This window comes from Homo sapiens, chromosome 1, assembly GCF_000001405.40.
Source record: "Homo sapiens chromosome 1, GRCh38.p14 Primary Assembly".
Lineage (NCBI taxonomy): Eukaryota > Metazoa > Chordata > Mammalia > Primates > Hominidae > Homo > Homo sapiens.
In genome coordinates this window covers 167,007,059-167,022,829 of record NC_000001.11, presented here as the reverse complement: position 1 = coordinate 167,022,829, position 15,771 = coordinate 167,007,059, and the positions used below count along the sequence as shown (strand labels likewise).

The 15,771-nt window shown below is 36.2% G+C and overlaps 1 protein-coding gene across 6 annotated transcripts in view; it reads right to left on the bottom strand.

Moving 5' to 3' along the window:
• Positions 1-615: 615 nt before the first annotated feature.
• MAEL (maelstrom spermatogenic transposon silencer) overlaps positions 616-15,771 on the bottom strand; it is a 46,633-nt gene continuing 31,477 nt past the window's right edge. For all 6 annotated transcript variants that reach the window (NM_001286378.2, XM_011510068.2, XM_006711583.2 and 3 more), the window contains 4 exons: positions 6,546-6,608; positions 4,871-5,003; positions 1,670-1,745; positions 616-1,162 (listed from right to left, as the gene is read on the bottom strand). In NM_001286378.2, the coding sequence (NP_001273307.1) occupies positions 975-1,162; positions 1,670-1,745; positions 4,871-5,003; positions 6,546-6,608 (460 nt within the window). In that variant the 3' untranslated portion in view covers positions 616-974. The remainder of the gene's footprint in view (positions 1,163-1,669; positions 1,746-4,870; positions 5,004-6,545; positions 6,609-15,771) is intronic.

The following is a 15,771-nucleotide window of genomic DNA, read 5'->3' as shown; positions in this document are numbered from 1 at the left end:
TATCGCCTCCTTCAGAGTGGTAATAAGGATTTAATAAGATGACACATATAAAACATCCACAAGGTAGGTACTCAACAGTTAGTAAAGGAAAATATGGGTATTAATAAAAACCAGAGGCCCAGGACAGTCATTCTCTGTAATCAGAGGGACCAGAGTTTGGAGTGAGACAGACTTAAACCAAATTGTTGCCTCTGTCAATGTCATGTGTGGTCTTGGCTTGTGGTTTAAAGTAAAAGGGGTTACCATACCTGTTTTACTCATCCTAGGTTATATATTACCCCAGGTTGAGAACATAAGCCAGTTTAAGTCAGTCACAGAGTGAACACCTGACTCAATATAATACCTGCTTGCTTTGCAGTCCAATGGATGAGAAATTCATTCAATATCTAGCCATGTGATGTGATTTAGGGTAAATTACTTAACCTTTCTAATTTTGCCTTCGCATCTTTCAAGTGCCTTCTTTTGCCAAAGTAAGTATATTTCAAAAACTTTTTAAGGTAGCAAAATTCTGTGTCTGTTAAAGGCTAATTTTCTTAGTTATTTGCAATAAAGACAGCCTGCAGGTCTCCAGTGTAAGGTTCCCATTTCATGACAGGAAGAAACAGATTAACACTATTTTAGAACCTTTCATAACAGATATTCAATACCTTTATTATCAGGAGAAAGAATGATCAATCTATAACATTCCCAAAAGTACAACTCTAAAAATGTCAGTTTTGTTCATATAGGACTCCAAACTTTAATGATATACCCATCATACAGCCAGGAAGCAGAACAATCCCTCAAGAAAAAAAGCACAAATGCCAAGATGCTCTCCAACCACAATTTTTTTAAATCTATGAAACAATTTCCTTACAAATTAAGTAGTTTTTATAGTAGTGACATTTGTCATTGATGTGATCTGTTTAATATGACTGTAGTAAGAAGGAAGTTGGGCCTGTTACTGTTTTCAGAAATTGAAAAGAGTACCATCATTAAGATAAGGAAGAGAAAGATTTGTATCCATCTTTTTGGGACATGTAAGGTGAGAGTGAAGTGTCACAGTTGGAGAATTTGTGGATATTGCTGGAAGAATTGGAAATGCTCTCTAGTAAGCGGGTAATTCCTCTTCCCCGAACGCTGCTGTTTTGGCCAGAAATTTTTGCCCTAGATGGGTAGTCACCTAGGATATTGAAAATACAAGAAAAGAGATATAGCAATTTTATAATTTTATTACAAAGAGATGCCTCAATTAACTGACTCATCCTACTGTAGGCCTTTCACTAAGCCATAATTCAACAGAAAAATGTTTTTGTTTTTAGCCCAGGAAACTTTTAATTGAAGTTCTTTAGGTACCACTTGAAATTTCATGTCACTAGCTTTTAAAGTTTCTCACCCCACAAAAGATACCATTAAAATCAAAACTATAAAGCTATTGCTGCTACAAGAAAAACAGGTTTTCTTTTAAATGCCCTAACAAATTCTGAGAAGTTACAATGTATCCAAGTGACCCAAAAATGTACACATCTAAATTGTTTAAGGTGCTAATGCCAAATAAAACCCTCAATTCAACAAGCTTCTTATATCCTAAAGCTAATTTAGATATCACTGTTTAAATACCACACCTGGGATCTTAGTAATAGGCTCTAACATCCTTTAGGTGCATTTTTGTAAAATATAAGTTGCTTACCAATGGGTGTGTTTGATCTTTGTTCCTCATTAGAAGAGTTGAAATGAGAGAATCCTGAACTCCCAACCCTTAGCTTCTGTAAGTAACAGGAAAATACCAGGGGGAAAAATGTTTATTTCTTATTCATTACTGGATGGTCTGTCTTCAATTTCATATTACTCTTTAAAAATGCAAACTAACACTCAAATACTTTTCCAATGTCTTATCAATTTTTGCTGCAAAGGGGGAGAAAATAGGATAGACTTTGGAGGGAGATTACGAAGTATAGGGCAAAAAAGGGTTTGCCTTTTTTTTTAAAAGTGAGATTATAGCACGTTTGCTGATAATGAATTAGAACAGAGGGAATCCCTGATGATACAGGAGGGGAAAATTACTGAAGCCATGTCCTTGAGTGGTAAGGGAAGGAAATCTAATATACAAGCAGACAGATTGGTTTTAGATAGGAACACAGAAAATTCATTCATTAAAATAGGAGTAAAGCAGAGAATATGGTAGATGCACGTAGATGAGTGGTAGGAATATGTAGAAAATCTCTCCCAACTGTTTCTATTTTCTCAGAGAAGTAGGAGGCAAAGGAATCAGCTAGAGCAAAGGTGAGGGAAGAGATGATGAAATCTGAAGGAAAAAGGTGGTGAGAAATAACTGTCTAGGAGAGTAGGAAATTAATCAGACTAGAGAAATGGGTATGTCAGGCAACAATAAAGGCCCCTTGAAGTTGGTGGTGATGAATAGTCAGTAAGATCGGTCAGCGTGGTAGTTCCTTTCCAGCCGCATTTAGTGTCACAGGCATAGGAGGAGAGTAGGTGAAGAGTTACATGTAATCAGGGTTAGTATCTGTCAAGTATGAGGAAAAAAAGAGGGCCAATGGAGTTGACAGTGCATGCAAGGCAGTGGAAAAGATAGGCCAAGGAATCTGAGTTGGGAAGGAAGGAGGTGAAGAGTAGAGACAAAGGTGGTAAAGGAGGAGACATGAGTCTACAGCATTACTAGTGTGAATGGTGTCCTGGAGTTGTGCAATGAAGTGGCCCTGTAAGGGAGTATAAAACAGTGGAGGCATAAATGAATTGTATATCCCAGTAGAGACTAAATAATTGTTAGCACAGGGGTAGTAGAAGATGGTGGTAGTCTGAGAGGGGGATGTTTGAAATTGAGATTATGAAGGAGGTACCACTGGGGTCCAGGATATGATTGTTAGGTAGAAGACAAGATTATTGAAGGAGAGGAAATCAAACTGAGAGGTTAGGCAGCTGGAAGGACTATGTGTAGGGAAATTGAAATAAATAATTCTGATGGAAAAACCAGTTTTCTGGATTGGTGTTGCTCTAAGAATGAGGGGAACCAACTCAGGAGTCTACTGACTCCAAAAAGAGGCCATTTGGAGTCTACTGACTCCAAAAAGGTACTACATCCTGGATAACAGGAAATTCAATGCCTAGGAATTTTGGGGAGACTATATAAAGAAGTCTGGAGGCCACGATCAAGGACAACTACTTCAAATCTAGGCCCTATGACACATGAAGAAGCAAAAGATGTCACCATTTGAAAAGGTTAATAGAGAAGCAGTGTCCTTAGAGGAGGGTCAAGTTTTAGTTAGAACCAAGAAGGTAAATAGACTTTGCCCCAAAGAAACTGAAGATACCTGAAATTTTGCTGATAACTAAGGCTGAGAAAACCCACAGGAAGGTTTCTCAGGAGTTGGGAAGGGCTGGGAAATAGGACCAGCCAAATAAGGTGAGTCTGGGAGATGAGAGAGAATCTGAGAGTCCTAGGCTTCCTATAGTAACTGATATAAACAATGAAAAGGCACATTATTGAGATTAATTCTGATGATGTGAACACAGATAGTGGTGATGAAGCTAAGGTAGGGTTTCTCAACCTGGGCACTAATGATATTTTAGGCTGGAAAATGCTTTGTTGTGGAAGGCTGTCCTGTATAGATAGAGTGCTTAACAGCATTCCTGGCCTTTATCCACTAAATGCCAGGGGCACCCCCTCCCCAGATGTGACAACCAAAAATGTCCCCAGGCTTTGTCAGATGTCCCATGGAGGACACAAATGGAGTCGAGAACCACTGGGCAAAAGGTTTAAAGGGAGGGTAGAGAAGGGTCTTGCCCAGAGTACATATGGAGAGCTCTGAAGTCCTTCCGTTTTTATTTTTAAATTATCATACAGTAAAACTTTTTTTGGTGTACACATCTATGAAGTTTAATGTATGTACAGAATTGTGTAAACACCACAATCAGGATACAGAGCCATTCTATCACCTCAAAAACCTCTCTCATGCTCAATCCCTTTACAGACACCCTGTTCCCACCCCTAACTCCTGGGAACCACTAATTTGTTCTTGTTATAGTTTAGTCTTCAAAAAAATGTCATATGAATGGAATCATACAGTATATTCTAAAGTACGTAATTTTGGAGACTGCTTCTTTTGTTCAGCATAATTAACTAGGATGAATCTAGCTGTTTTCATCAGTAGTTCATGCCATTTTTTGAGTTTCCTTTTCAGTAAGTGTTTATTTTAAAATAACAACATTTATTATCTATTAAGCTCTAAGGCAGGGAGGCCTTGGTACTGTCATATATTGCTGCATTTAATCCTAACAAATACTAGCCCCTATTATTGTTCTTGTTTAATACATAAAAAATTAGTACAGACAGTTCAAGTATTGTGCATAAAGTCACAAAACTTGTATGTAGCAGAACCTAAAATAAAATTCAGGAATTCTGACCCTAGAGCCCATACTCTTAACTGCTATGCACTTAGTGGTTTAGAGGCCTACTAATAAGTAAACGGCAGGGAGGGAAGGAAGGTGGTAGAGAAATTAGATAGCTTTTAATCAAATCCTAAATCAGGTCTTAAATATTTTTGAGGTAGATGTTTAGAATATTTATATTACTTACATTCAGATATTTAATTTTTGGAATAAATCTTTGGAAATGTTTTACATAAAGATTAAATACCAGTTTTAACTTTCTTAAAACTTTGTTAAATTGGTAGGAAATATACCAGAGAAAAAAGAATTTTACACAAGACACAACTGGATTAGGAACTGTTTGACATTCCATGAAGTACTTCAAAATAATGTTTAAGGGGAGGGAAAGAACCAAACAAAGGCTGATCTTTTGTTTCTGTTGGCCAGAATCACATTGAGTAGAACAGCTAAAGAGACCAGCAGCTCTTAAAAGTCAGTTCCTTACCTGGTAACGCCCTGCATCCAATACAACCATTTTGGGTGTCACACTATTGCTGGCCTCATAATCTTGTAGTGGTACATGAGCCTCTGTGAGCTGGATTCCAAAGAGAGTGGCCAGAGAATTACTGATGCAGTACCTTTAAAAGAAATAAAAATCTCACTATCAGAATCTAATTTAATTCAACTAAAAGTATTTGTATTTTAAAATCTCTAACAAAAAGAAAGCATCTGAGGTACTGTTATAAACTGGGAAAAAATAAATTTGGAGATTCAGAGAAGACATATAAATAAATAGCAATACATATAATAAAACAGGTTATTACTGCTAAGCAATCTTTTGATTGCCAGATAAAATTTTAGGTTCATTTTAAGGGCATGGCAATGAAGATAAAGATTACCAGGATTCCCAAATGTTTAAGGCAAGGAGAGGGCAGCGGCAGAAATAACACTACAACCATAAACACTAATCTATCCTGTGAACTAATATCACCCACTGGGCTACCAGAGCACCCAGGTTATCTGGGGCTCCCGGTACTTTCACTACAAAACGAGAACAAAAGACCTATGTGTTAGAGTACCCCAATAAGGAAGTGGTTCTGAAGGTTCACCCATATTGCTAGGAGAGGTGACATGGATAGAAAATAAAAGTAATATGATGTACAAAACCACCTTTATTTTTATTTTTTATGAGTACATAGTAGGTGCATATATTTATGGGGTACATAAGATGTTTTGATACAAGCATGCAATGTGTAGTAATCGCATCATGGAAGGTGGTATATCCATCCATTCAAGTATTCATCCTTTGTATTATAAACAATCCAATGATTCTCTTTTAGTTATTTTCAAATGTACAATTAAATTATTATTGACTATAGTCACTCTGTTGTGCTATCAAATACTAGGCCTTATTCATTCAAACCATTTTTTGTACTAATTAACAATCTTCACTTCCCCCTCACCCCTCTAGTACCCTTCCTAGCCTCTAGTAATCATTCCTTCTACTCTCTATCTCCATGGGTTCAATTGTTTTGATTTTTAGATTCCACAAATAAGTGAGCACATGAGATGTTTATTTTCCTGTGCCTGGCTTATTTCACTTAACATAATGACCTCTAGTTCCATCTATGTTGTTGCAAATGACTGAATCTCATTTTTTTAATGGCTGAATAGTACTCTATTGTGTATAAGTACCACATTTTCTTTATCCATTCATCTGCTGATGGATACTTAGGTTGCTTCCAAATCTTGGCTATTGTAAACAATGCTGCAACAAACATGGGAGTGTAGATATTTCTTCAATGTATTTCGTTTCTTTGGGGATATACCCAGCAGTAGAAGTGCTGGATCATAACGGTAGCTCTATTTTTAGTTTTTTGGAGAACGTCCAAACTGTTCCCCATAGTGGTTATATTAACTTACATCCCACCAACAGTGTATGAGGGTTCCCTTTTCTCCACAACCTTACCAGCATTTATTATTGCCTGTCTTTTGGATATAAGCCATTTTAAACCAGGGTGAGATAATATCTCACTGTAGTTTTGATTTGACCCCCTTTGTTTTGAAAGAGCATTGTGGAAACAGAGTTACCCCGATTGCCAAAGCTATAGCAAGCAAAACGGCACAGAATAATTTAATCAGAATACAGTATTATGAAGAAACTCCTTTCCCCAACTTACGCAATCTTCTTGCAAACAGCTAAAGCACAGAAGAGAATATCATTTTCTTCATGCCACTTGCACCTGTACAAAAAAATGGACTTTAATATCCTAACTGAAGTAGCACTGCTTAAAGGTTTTTATATGCCAGATTTCTATCTGAAATCTTTTAAAAAATGAGGTTACTTGAAGACTAAAACTTCAAATTTAACACAAAGATTTTTAAAAAACAGATTTTAATGCTACATTCTCTGATACAAATTCATGATACTACGCAACCTACACATAACCATACAGTCAAATTTTACCTTGAAATAAAATGAGTGCTTCTGGCACATTAGTGACAAAATGCACTCATTCAACAAACATTTATTCAATGTACACTATTTTCTAGGCCTTGTGGTAGGCACTAGAAATACAGTATTGAAAAAATAGAAATTATTGTCCACACAAAACTTACTTTCTAGAGGGAAAGACAGATCAAGAAAGATATGCAAGCATAATACACAGTAAATTGGAAAATTGGGAAAGTTCTAAGGATAGAACTTTATTTAAAAATAAAAAGATAATATAAAATATTGGAGAGGAACAACATTTTAGATAAAGTGTCAATGAAAGGTAACACTGAGAAGGTGGTGTTTCAGTGGAGATCTCAGGAGGTGATGTTGGTGAGGAAATGACGGAAATAATTTGTGTAAGTCAATACAAGGTTACAAACACTAAAATAGCACACTTTCATGACAAGAGCTGTTATAAACTTGTGTATATCTTTCCAATGAGTACACAGTCTATTAAGACTCAGAGCAGCTCTACTTGTACAATACAAAGCTTGCCTAAACTTAGCAAAAGTCTTCATTTAAAATTATAAACACACTAAACAGTGTAAAAAGTCCATTATTTGCACTGGATGAAAGTTATTTCATGCATGGATGAATGGAAGACTACTTAAAAATAAAATTAAGAATTTCCCACTGTTTTTCCAAAGAAAAGTGAGCCTATAAATGTGGTAGTTCACAAAACTGTAACATGAAGCCTTAGATTAAAACAAAAGTTAAGTTATATAAACATACTATGTACCGGCAAAAAATAAAAATTAAGAAAACAAAAAAACTCTAAACTGGCTGGGCATAGTACTCTCTAAAGTACTCTGCCTTTCTATACACTCTTCTGTATCCTGTTAGAGCTATTAGTTTGCTTTTGTTCCCTGGATTATCTCATTCTTCTGGATTGGGAGTTGTGGTCTCCCTGTTTTGTTCTTTTTCATGTTGCAGGCTTTTCTTGAATGCCTGATTATCCTTGATTGTGTTCATATTTAGCTATGAGGCGCGATCTCTGCTCACTGCAACCTCCACCTCCAGGGTTCAAATGATAACTCGTGCCTCAGCCTCTTGAGTAGCTGGGATTACAAGCATGTGCCATCATGCCTGGCTAATTTTTGTATTTTTAGTAGAGACAGGGTTTCACCATGTTATCCAGGCTGGTCTCGAACTGCTGACCTCAGGTGATCCACCCACGTTGGCCTCCCATAGTGCTGGGATTACAGGCATGAGCCACTGCGCCTGGCAGGCTTTCATTTCTCTGAGTCACTATTCAGGCCATTTTTTATTGGAAAGGTCCCCCCTTTCAACCCAAATCTCTGCTCTAAGAAATTCTATCTTCACAGAAGAAACAAATAAAACATTTATTCCATATATTAGTTAACAGTTTTTAAACCCTAACAACACTTAAGTGATGTCTTCTGCATATGATTTTTCATAACTTTTTGAAACTCTTTTGGAATTCTACCAGAATTTACCATACATGACTAGTATCTTCACACTAGAGTCTTATTGGACAGGAGATTCTGAGGCCAAGGATGATCGTGTCACTCCCATATTTCCCACAGAAACTTTCCCATACAAGTGCCTTATGTACAAGAGCAGCTCCAATCCTGCTAAGTATCAAAAGCTCATTAAAATGGACTAAGAAAAACTATTCTAAAGTGATAAAGTATAAAACTGCATCTCTTAATACTACTATTGCTGGGGTTTCTGGTTCAAGATGGTGAATTAAACACCTGCACAAATTTATCTCTTCTTGGTCCCAAGACGCTGTGAAGATGACAGGCAAAGAATAAAAATGGTACATGTCCACAATAAAGGAAAAAAGCAGGAAGAGGCCTCCATAGAAGACATTTTAACAAATCTGTGGCAAATAAAATAAATGGTAACTGATGAAGCTGGAAAGAAGTCACAGTCTTCAGTGCTCAAGAGGCTAGCAGCAGAAGAAAGTCTGCCTATCAGAACTCTGGAGAGGCTCTGGACTTGTGAACATGTCTCTACTCAGAGCAGAAAGAGAAGACATGAGGCTGAACTTCTGTAAAAAGAATAGTCTACTTCCCAGAACCCCCATGAAAAAAAGTAAACTGTTCTTGGAAAACCAGGCAGCAAGAATGGCTGCTGGTACCTTAGAGCAAAGCCTTTCATATTCTAGCATTTAGGATTTTGCCTCCAACTAAACATCTCTCTTGTCTGCTTTCCTTACAGGAAAGCCTCATCAGTTAACAATCCCCACTGAACAATATGGAACACTCGGCTTTGTAGCCTCATTTCTAAATATGAATGCAATCAAGGATAATCAGGCATTCAAGAAAAGCCTGCAACATGAAAAAGAACAAAACAGGGAGACCACAACTCACAATCCAGAAGAATGAGATAATCCAGGGAACAAAAGCAAACTAATAGCCCTAACAGGATATAGAAGATTGTGTAGAAAGACAGAGCACTTTGCAGAGTGGTAAAGAAGACCAAATACTTCACAGAGATTTATGAAATTATTACATCCAGAATCCCAGTTTTTCTCATGTCTTCAACCCTCATCGACACTGATGATGGCTATGATGATTTGTATAACATAGGAACACTTACAGGCTGAGAGGTACTGAGACTTTGAAAAGCCTCTGCCCACATTTTAACTTGTCAGAGCTCGTCAGGGCTTGTGCCGAGTCCTCTTCTCTTTCTGCTGTTTGCCGAGGTGATCTCATCTACGTGCTGTGAGGTCCATCAAGGCAGAAGACTTGTCTTCCTGTACTGTATCTTCAGTGCCCAGCACATAGTGAAAAGAATGCTGACACTACCCAAACCGCTTCACTGAGCTCTAGCAGGACGACAGTTGCTTGCCTGCTATCTCCAGATGTGATGCCTCACCAGGACCTCAGAACACTGTAACCTTGCTCCTCTCCTCCTCATCTATCCAATAGTATACACCAGAAACCTGGGTGTCATCTTTCATTATTTCTTTCTGTTTTCTCTCCCTGGGTCCAGTCCATCAGCAAGGTCTACTGACTTTAACCTATCTTAAATCAACCTATTCCTTTCCATCTCTCCCTGTGTTCTTGCACGTTTAAAACTTTTTCTAATGGTTTATGACCCCCAACTGCTTCAACCTCATCTTGTGCATTCTCCTCTTCACTCATTACTCCCCAGTCACACTGATTGTCTAACAATTTCTAGCAAACACCAAGCCTTTACCTCAAGGCTTTTCTATCTCTGTCCAGGGTGCTCTTCTTACCATTTTTTGCATGGCTGCATCTTTCTCCCACTTCGGTTCTAATGTCACACCCTCAAATTCTTCTTGACCATTCTATAAAGTGGTCTACTTTTCTATACATTCTTCTCTGTCAGAGTGTCTTGTTGATTTTCTTCTTAGCACTTATCAAAAGCTAAAATTACCATTTTCTTTATTATGTACTGTATGTTTCTTTCCTACTTAACTGTTAGCTTCTTGAAGGCAGGGACCACATTAATTCTGCTCACCTTTGGATCATCTTCTGGCACAGAGGAGGTGCTCAATAAATATTTGTTGATTAAATAAAGGCTGCCATGTTTAGTCAGCTGATCATAGACAGTGAATTAGTCCAAGAAGAATTATGACAAGAAGCATCAGGAGACTAGGGGACCTATAAAAATTATAAATATTCTAGCCTCCAAAATGCATGTTATCAACAGACTGTTTACTTAAGATTCTAATATTCAATTTGCCTAACTGTACTCAATTTCACCAATACAAAATCTACCCATTTCTCTTAGAACTAGACAAAACATTTATCACAAATTTATTACAAACTTTAAGGTCTTTTAGTAAGCATTTAAGAGCAGTGGTTGGAATAAGTTTCATTTGCTTATATTAACAGATTCTAACAGTTTCTATTGTATACTACAATCCAAACTCCCTTGTAAAATATCATACATTTGAATCTTATTATGTTATGAAGCTCAATAAAAAGTAGATCCATCCTGTCCAAAGAAGTTTAGTAAAGTGCCTACAGTACTATGTAAGAGTTTTACCTTTAACAAAATCCCACGGCATGGACCTCAAATAATGTCTCAAACTAGAGCTACTCTAGTCTTGTTGTAGAGTATAGCTACTCTGCTGAACTCAACACTGTATTTCTTCAATTATAAAACACATTTTCTTGACATTTTAACCAAAATTAGAATGCATCTTACAATTGAAGGTATTGCACAATGTCTATTTGACAGTCTAGAAATAGTTGCCATTGCCTAACCATGTACAAATTTAATTATTAATCTTGATGGTAACCAGACATTTGCAATCCTTCAACATTTTAGTCAATAAACCATTTAAAGATTATTTGAGGACATATTAGTTTGTCCCTGAAAACTTTCTTTTGACCTCTTCTGAAAAGATCAAGAAAGAACTGGCATCAAAACTTGCAGAAAGGATATGCTTAGAAGAAAACCCCAGAGACAACAGTGGAGTTCTTTTTTAAGAAATGCTGTATCGCCAACACTCTTAATGGCACAGAGGACAATAATGTATAAAAACATGGACAATGAATGACTCAATGTGAAATTTTAGAAATACTTCAGCCTGTAACTGAGGTAATGGTACATAAATCCAAATATCTTAACACATCATCCATAAGCTTTACAGATTAACAAGAACAACAACAACAAACGTGGGGAAAACAAAATCTACACCTACAGCATAACTAGAAGAACACTACAAAACTCAGTTGTCTATAAATAGAAAAATGAAAACTGTAATTTCCAATGGAGCAATTTCTCAATCTCCTACCCCAACCTTTATATGCAGTAGAGTCCAGAAAAAACTTGGGGAAGGAAGAAAGAAAATGGAGAGCCTAAGATTAAATTAAAATCATTCTTACAATGAGGAAGCCCATTCTTTACGTAAATATTCAAACAGTCCTAGTAGATCAGAGCACTGACTATAGGCAAGTGCCATGCTAAGTGAAAGAGGAAGGGGGAAGGGCCCTTTAGAAATTAGGTAGAAAAAAAAAAGCAAAGGGGGAAATTTAAGATCATGCAGGAAATAAAATTCTAAGAACCTACAACCACACTCCCACCACCCTGAAAACATTCATTAAAGAACCTGTACTTTGTCACATTGACAGAGAGGAAGGTTCTTGGAAAAAAGACTCTCAATCAAACCTCCCGCTAAATTATCAGCCTTGTCCAAGAAACGCAAAGGAGCAATGTATCTTCATCTACAGAAAGCTATTATGGGAAGAAAACAAGCTATTATAAGAACAAAATAGCCAGGCATAATGGCTTGCACCTGTAATCCCAGCAATTTGGAAGGCTGAGGCAGGAAGATCACTTGAGGCCAGAAGTTCGACACCAGCCTGGGCAACACAGCAAGACTCTGTCTCCACGACAAATGAAAAATAACTAGGTACGCATGGTGGCACATGCCTGTAGTACCAGCTACTCAGGAGACTGAGGCATGAGGACTGCTTGACTCTAGGAGTTCCAGGCTGCAGTGAGCTATGATTGTGTCACTGTATTCCGGCTGGGGTGACAGAGCAAGACTCTCTTTAAAAAAAAGAAAAGAAAAGAAAAGAAAACAGAAAAGGAGAATCAAAACACTTTAGCTGATAATTTCTCATACCCCCACCCCCCAAAAAAACATGAAGGAGGGGAAAAACCTAACATTACTGTATTAGTCTGTTCTCACACTGCTGTGAAGTAATATTTGAGACTGGGTAATTTATAAAGGAAAGAGGTTTAACTGACTCACAGATTTGCATTGGTGGGGAGGCCTCAGGAAATTTATAATCATGGGAAAGGCAAAGGAGAAGCAGCCACCTTCTTCACAAGGCAGCAGAATGGAATGAGTGCAAACAGGGGAAATGCCAGATGCTTATTAAATCCATCAGATCTCATGAGAACAGCATGGGGGAACCGCCATGATCCAGTTACCTCCACCTGGTCCAACCCTTGACACATGGGGGTCATAGGGATTACAATTCGAGGTGAGATTTGGGTGGGGACATAGAGCCAAAGTATATCAATTACCATTCCATGTTAAATTAAATATCCTCAAAAAGAATGTGAGAATATAAAAACACACCCTGAATGAGAAACTTCAAAACTAGAAACAGAAATAAACAAAAAATGAAGAAATTACTTAACTCAAGAAAGAGAGGGGAAAAAAAAGACAAAAACATTACAGAAAAGAACTAAATTACCAACTGCCCAAGGCTGAACAGATTCATTTGTAAAGTTAATAAGAGAAACTGAAGAAAGCAGAAACTATCATGAGAATAAACAAAGTAAAAAGGGTCAGAAAAAGTGATTAAAATGAAAGGCAAAGAAGATCAAACATACATATATATTGGACTCCTTTTAAGAAGAAACATTAGACAGTGGAACAAAACTAACATTAAACTATGATCTAAAAAAAAAAAAAATCTCCAGAAATAGAACCTGATTCTGCATATTGAAAGGGCTCACCAAATGTCTTAGAAAATGGACCTGCATATAAACTCAGAGAAATAGCCTAGTAACAGTATTAGACTTTAAAAATGAAAAAAGACTAAAGTCTCCAGGCAAAATGATCAACTAACTCCAGTCAAAAAGATCAGATAACTAAGGCCAAGAAAATTAACTGACCAAATTTCACAAAAGGAACACACAAAGCCATGAAATGAAGTTGCATTTTCTAGAAACTCAAGGAAATATGGTGTACACCATTAGAAAAAGTTTTAAACATGCAAGAACACAGGGAATACTCTTCCATGAGCCCCTGATCAATTTACTGTATCAAGGTTCAGCAAACTTTAACTTTTAAGGCATCAAATATCACAGCAGCCAGCTTACAACTACAGGAAATGCAATGAAACACAGACAGAAACACAGTAATAATAGGAGATTACTGTCAACACAAGACATATCAACTGGATAAAATATACCTAAAGAAAATGTAAACAATACAATTAATGTAGATGATGTATGTGTGTGGATCTCAAATGCTATATCCTGAAAAGAAAGTATATTCTCATATGCCAAGAGAACAGTCACAAAAATTGATTATATATTAAGTCAGCAAAAAAACCCCAAAGACCAGTAACTTCCATAAAGTAAAAATATTATAAACACTTTCTGATCACAATGTAAAAACACTGGAATTTACTAAAAGAAACAAAATGCAGAAAGTCCTTTTCACCTGGACATTTAAAAGCCTTGTTTTAAAGAGATGGTGGCTGAGAGTTAAAATGACATAATTTATTTAAAATGGCAATGAAAATATTGCATGCAATAATCTACGTAAATTCATTGAAAACAATGATTAAGAGAAAATTCACTCTACTAAACACATCAAAAAAATCAGGCAAAAGATAAATTACATTTCCAGCCCCCAAAACTAGAAAAAGAACAACAACATACAAAGAGAGTAACAGCAAAAATTAATTAGGAAGAGAATAGAAAAACAGGTCTAATAAATTAAAATCCTATTGTTTTGAAAAATTAAAAAAGACAACACATTTGCTTACAAAAAAATGAGAGAGCACAAATATACAATGACAAGATAACCATTGAAACAGATGAAATTTAAAAAAATTTTAAGAGACCACACTTCCTTGCAGATCTTTAAACAAATAACTTTGAAAAGCTATATAACATGTATCATTTTCTAGAAACATACAGATTACCAAAATTTACCCCATTAAAATTAGAAAGCCTAATAAAACCAATTTCCATAGAAGAACAGAAAAAGTTATCAAGGAACTGCTCCTACAAAAATGCGCCAGTCCCAGAGATGCACAATCTGTGTGAGAAAAATTTTAAAACATATTTGAAAGACACAAAAGTAGATTTGAACAATGGAAAGATGTCCCTAGTCTTTGGAAACAACTCAACAATATAAATATTTCAGTTATCCCCAAGTTAATTTATAAATTTAATGCAATCCTAACAAGCTTTTTTTAATGAAGCTAGAATAAAGTGACACTTCTGAATATTATTTTTGTTTACAAAACGGAAATGCTTTAGACATTCAAAAGCTAAATTAGCAAAAATGGAATACAAACAAGCAAACGAACTTAACTATTAATATATTTCAAAAGAGTAATTTGTACTGAAAGGGGAAAAAAGAACCTAAATAACTTCTGAACAAAGTATTTTGACTATATACTTTCAGACTAAAAGCGATTATAAACAAACTCTAAACAGTTGTATGTCTTTTTTTAAAAATAGTGGTACCATATAATTCTAAAAAATACTGACAGCCAGGGTTCTCATTCTCAGAGAAAGGAAATTTTTTAAAAAGTAAAAAAACTAGAGAACTCTATGGTATTGGATTGAAATTACAGGTTAAGTGTGAACTCATGATAAGATAGAGATGGATAAAAAGATTGAGAGACCTAGCTACAAACAGATGTATATGGAGTGTGTGTGTACATACACACACACACACACACACACACACACACACACACACACAAACATATATTTCCTAGCTCTCTACTAAGGGGATCTAGAATCAATGATACTCTAGTAAGAAATGAGCACACCTACCACCCAGATTCTATCTCCTAACTGTTATGCTCCACTAAAAGAAACCAGAGATTCTTGGGAGAAATGGCTAATCCAGGGCTGGAACAAAGAAAGTACAAGATAGGCCTGGAACATATTGTGCCAAATAGAAAGCAAAGAAGCACTGTTAGATAGAAAGCAATGAAGCAATGTCAAAAGGACACACAAACCCCTGCTTGAAGGTACTCCCACTGGCCATATATGGAACAATTTGATCATAAAAATAAATTACAATAATAGATTAAAATGTACTGAATAGGAATCCATGAGTCCATGCTCATATAAATGAAAAAAATAAATAAATGGGTAAAAAGGAGAAACTTTTTTTTTTTTTACAGTGGAATGCCAACCAATAAATGCAGAAGGAACAATCAAATTAGAAAAATCACCTTTCACAATGATAGTAA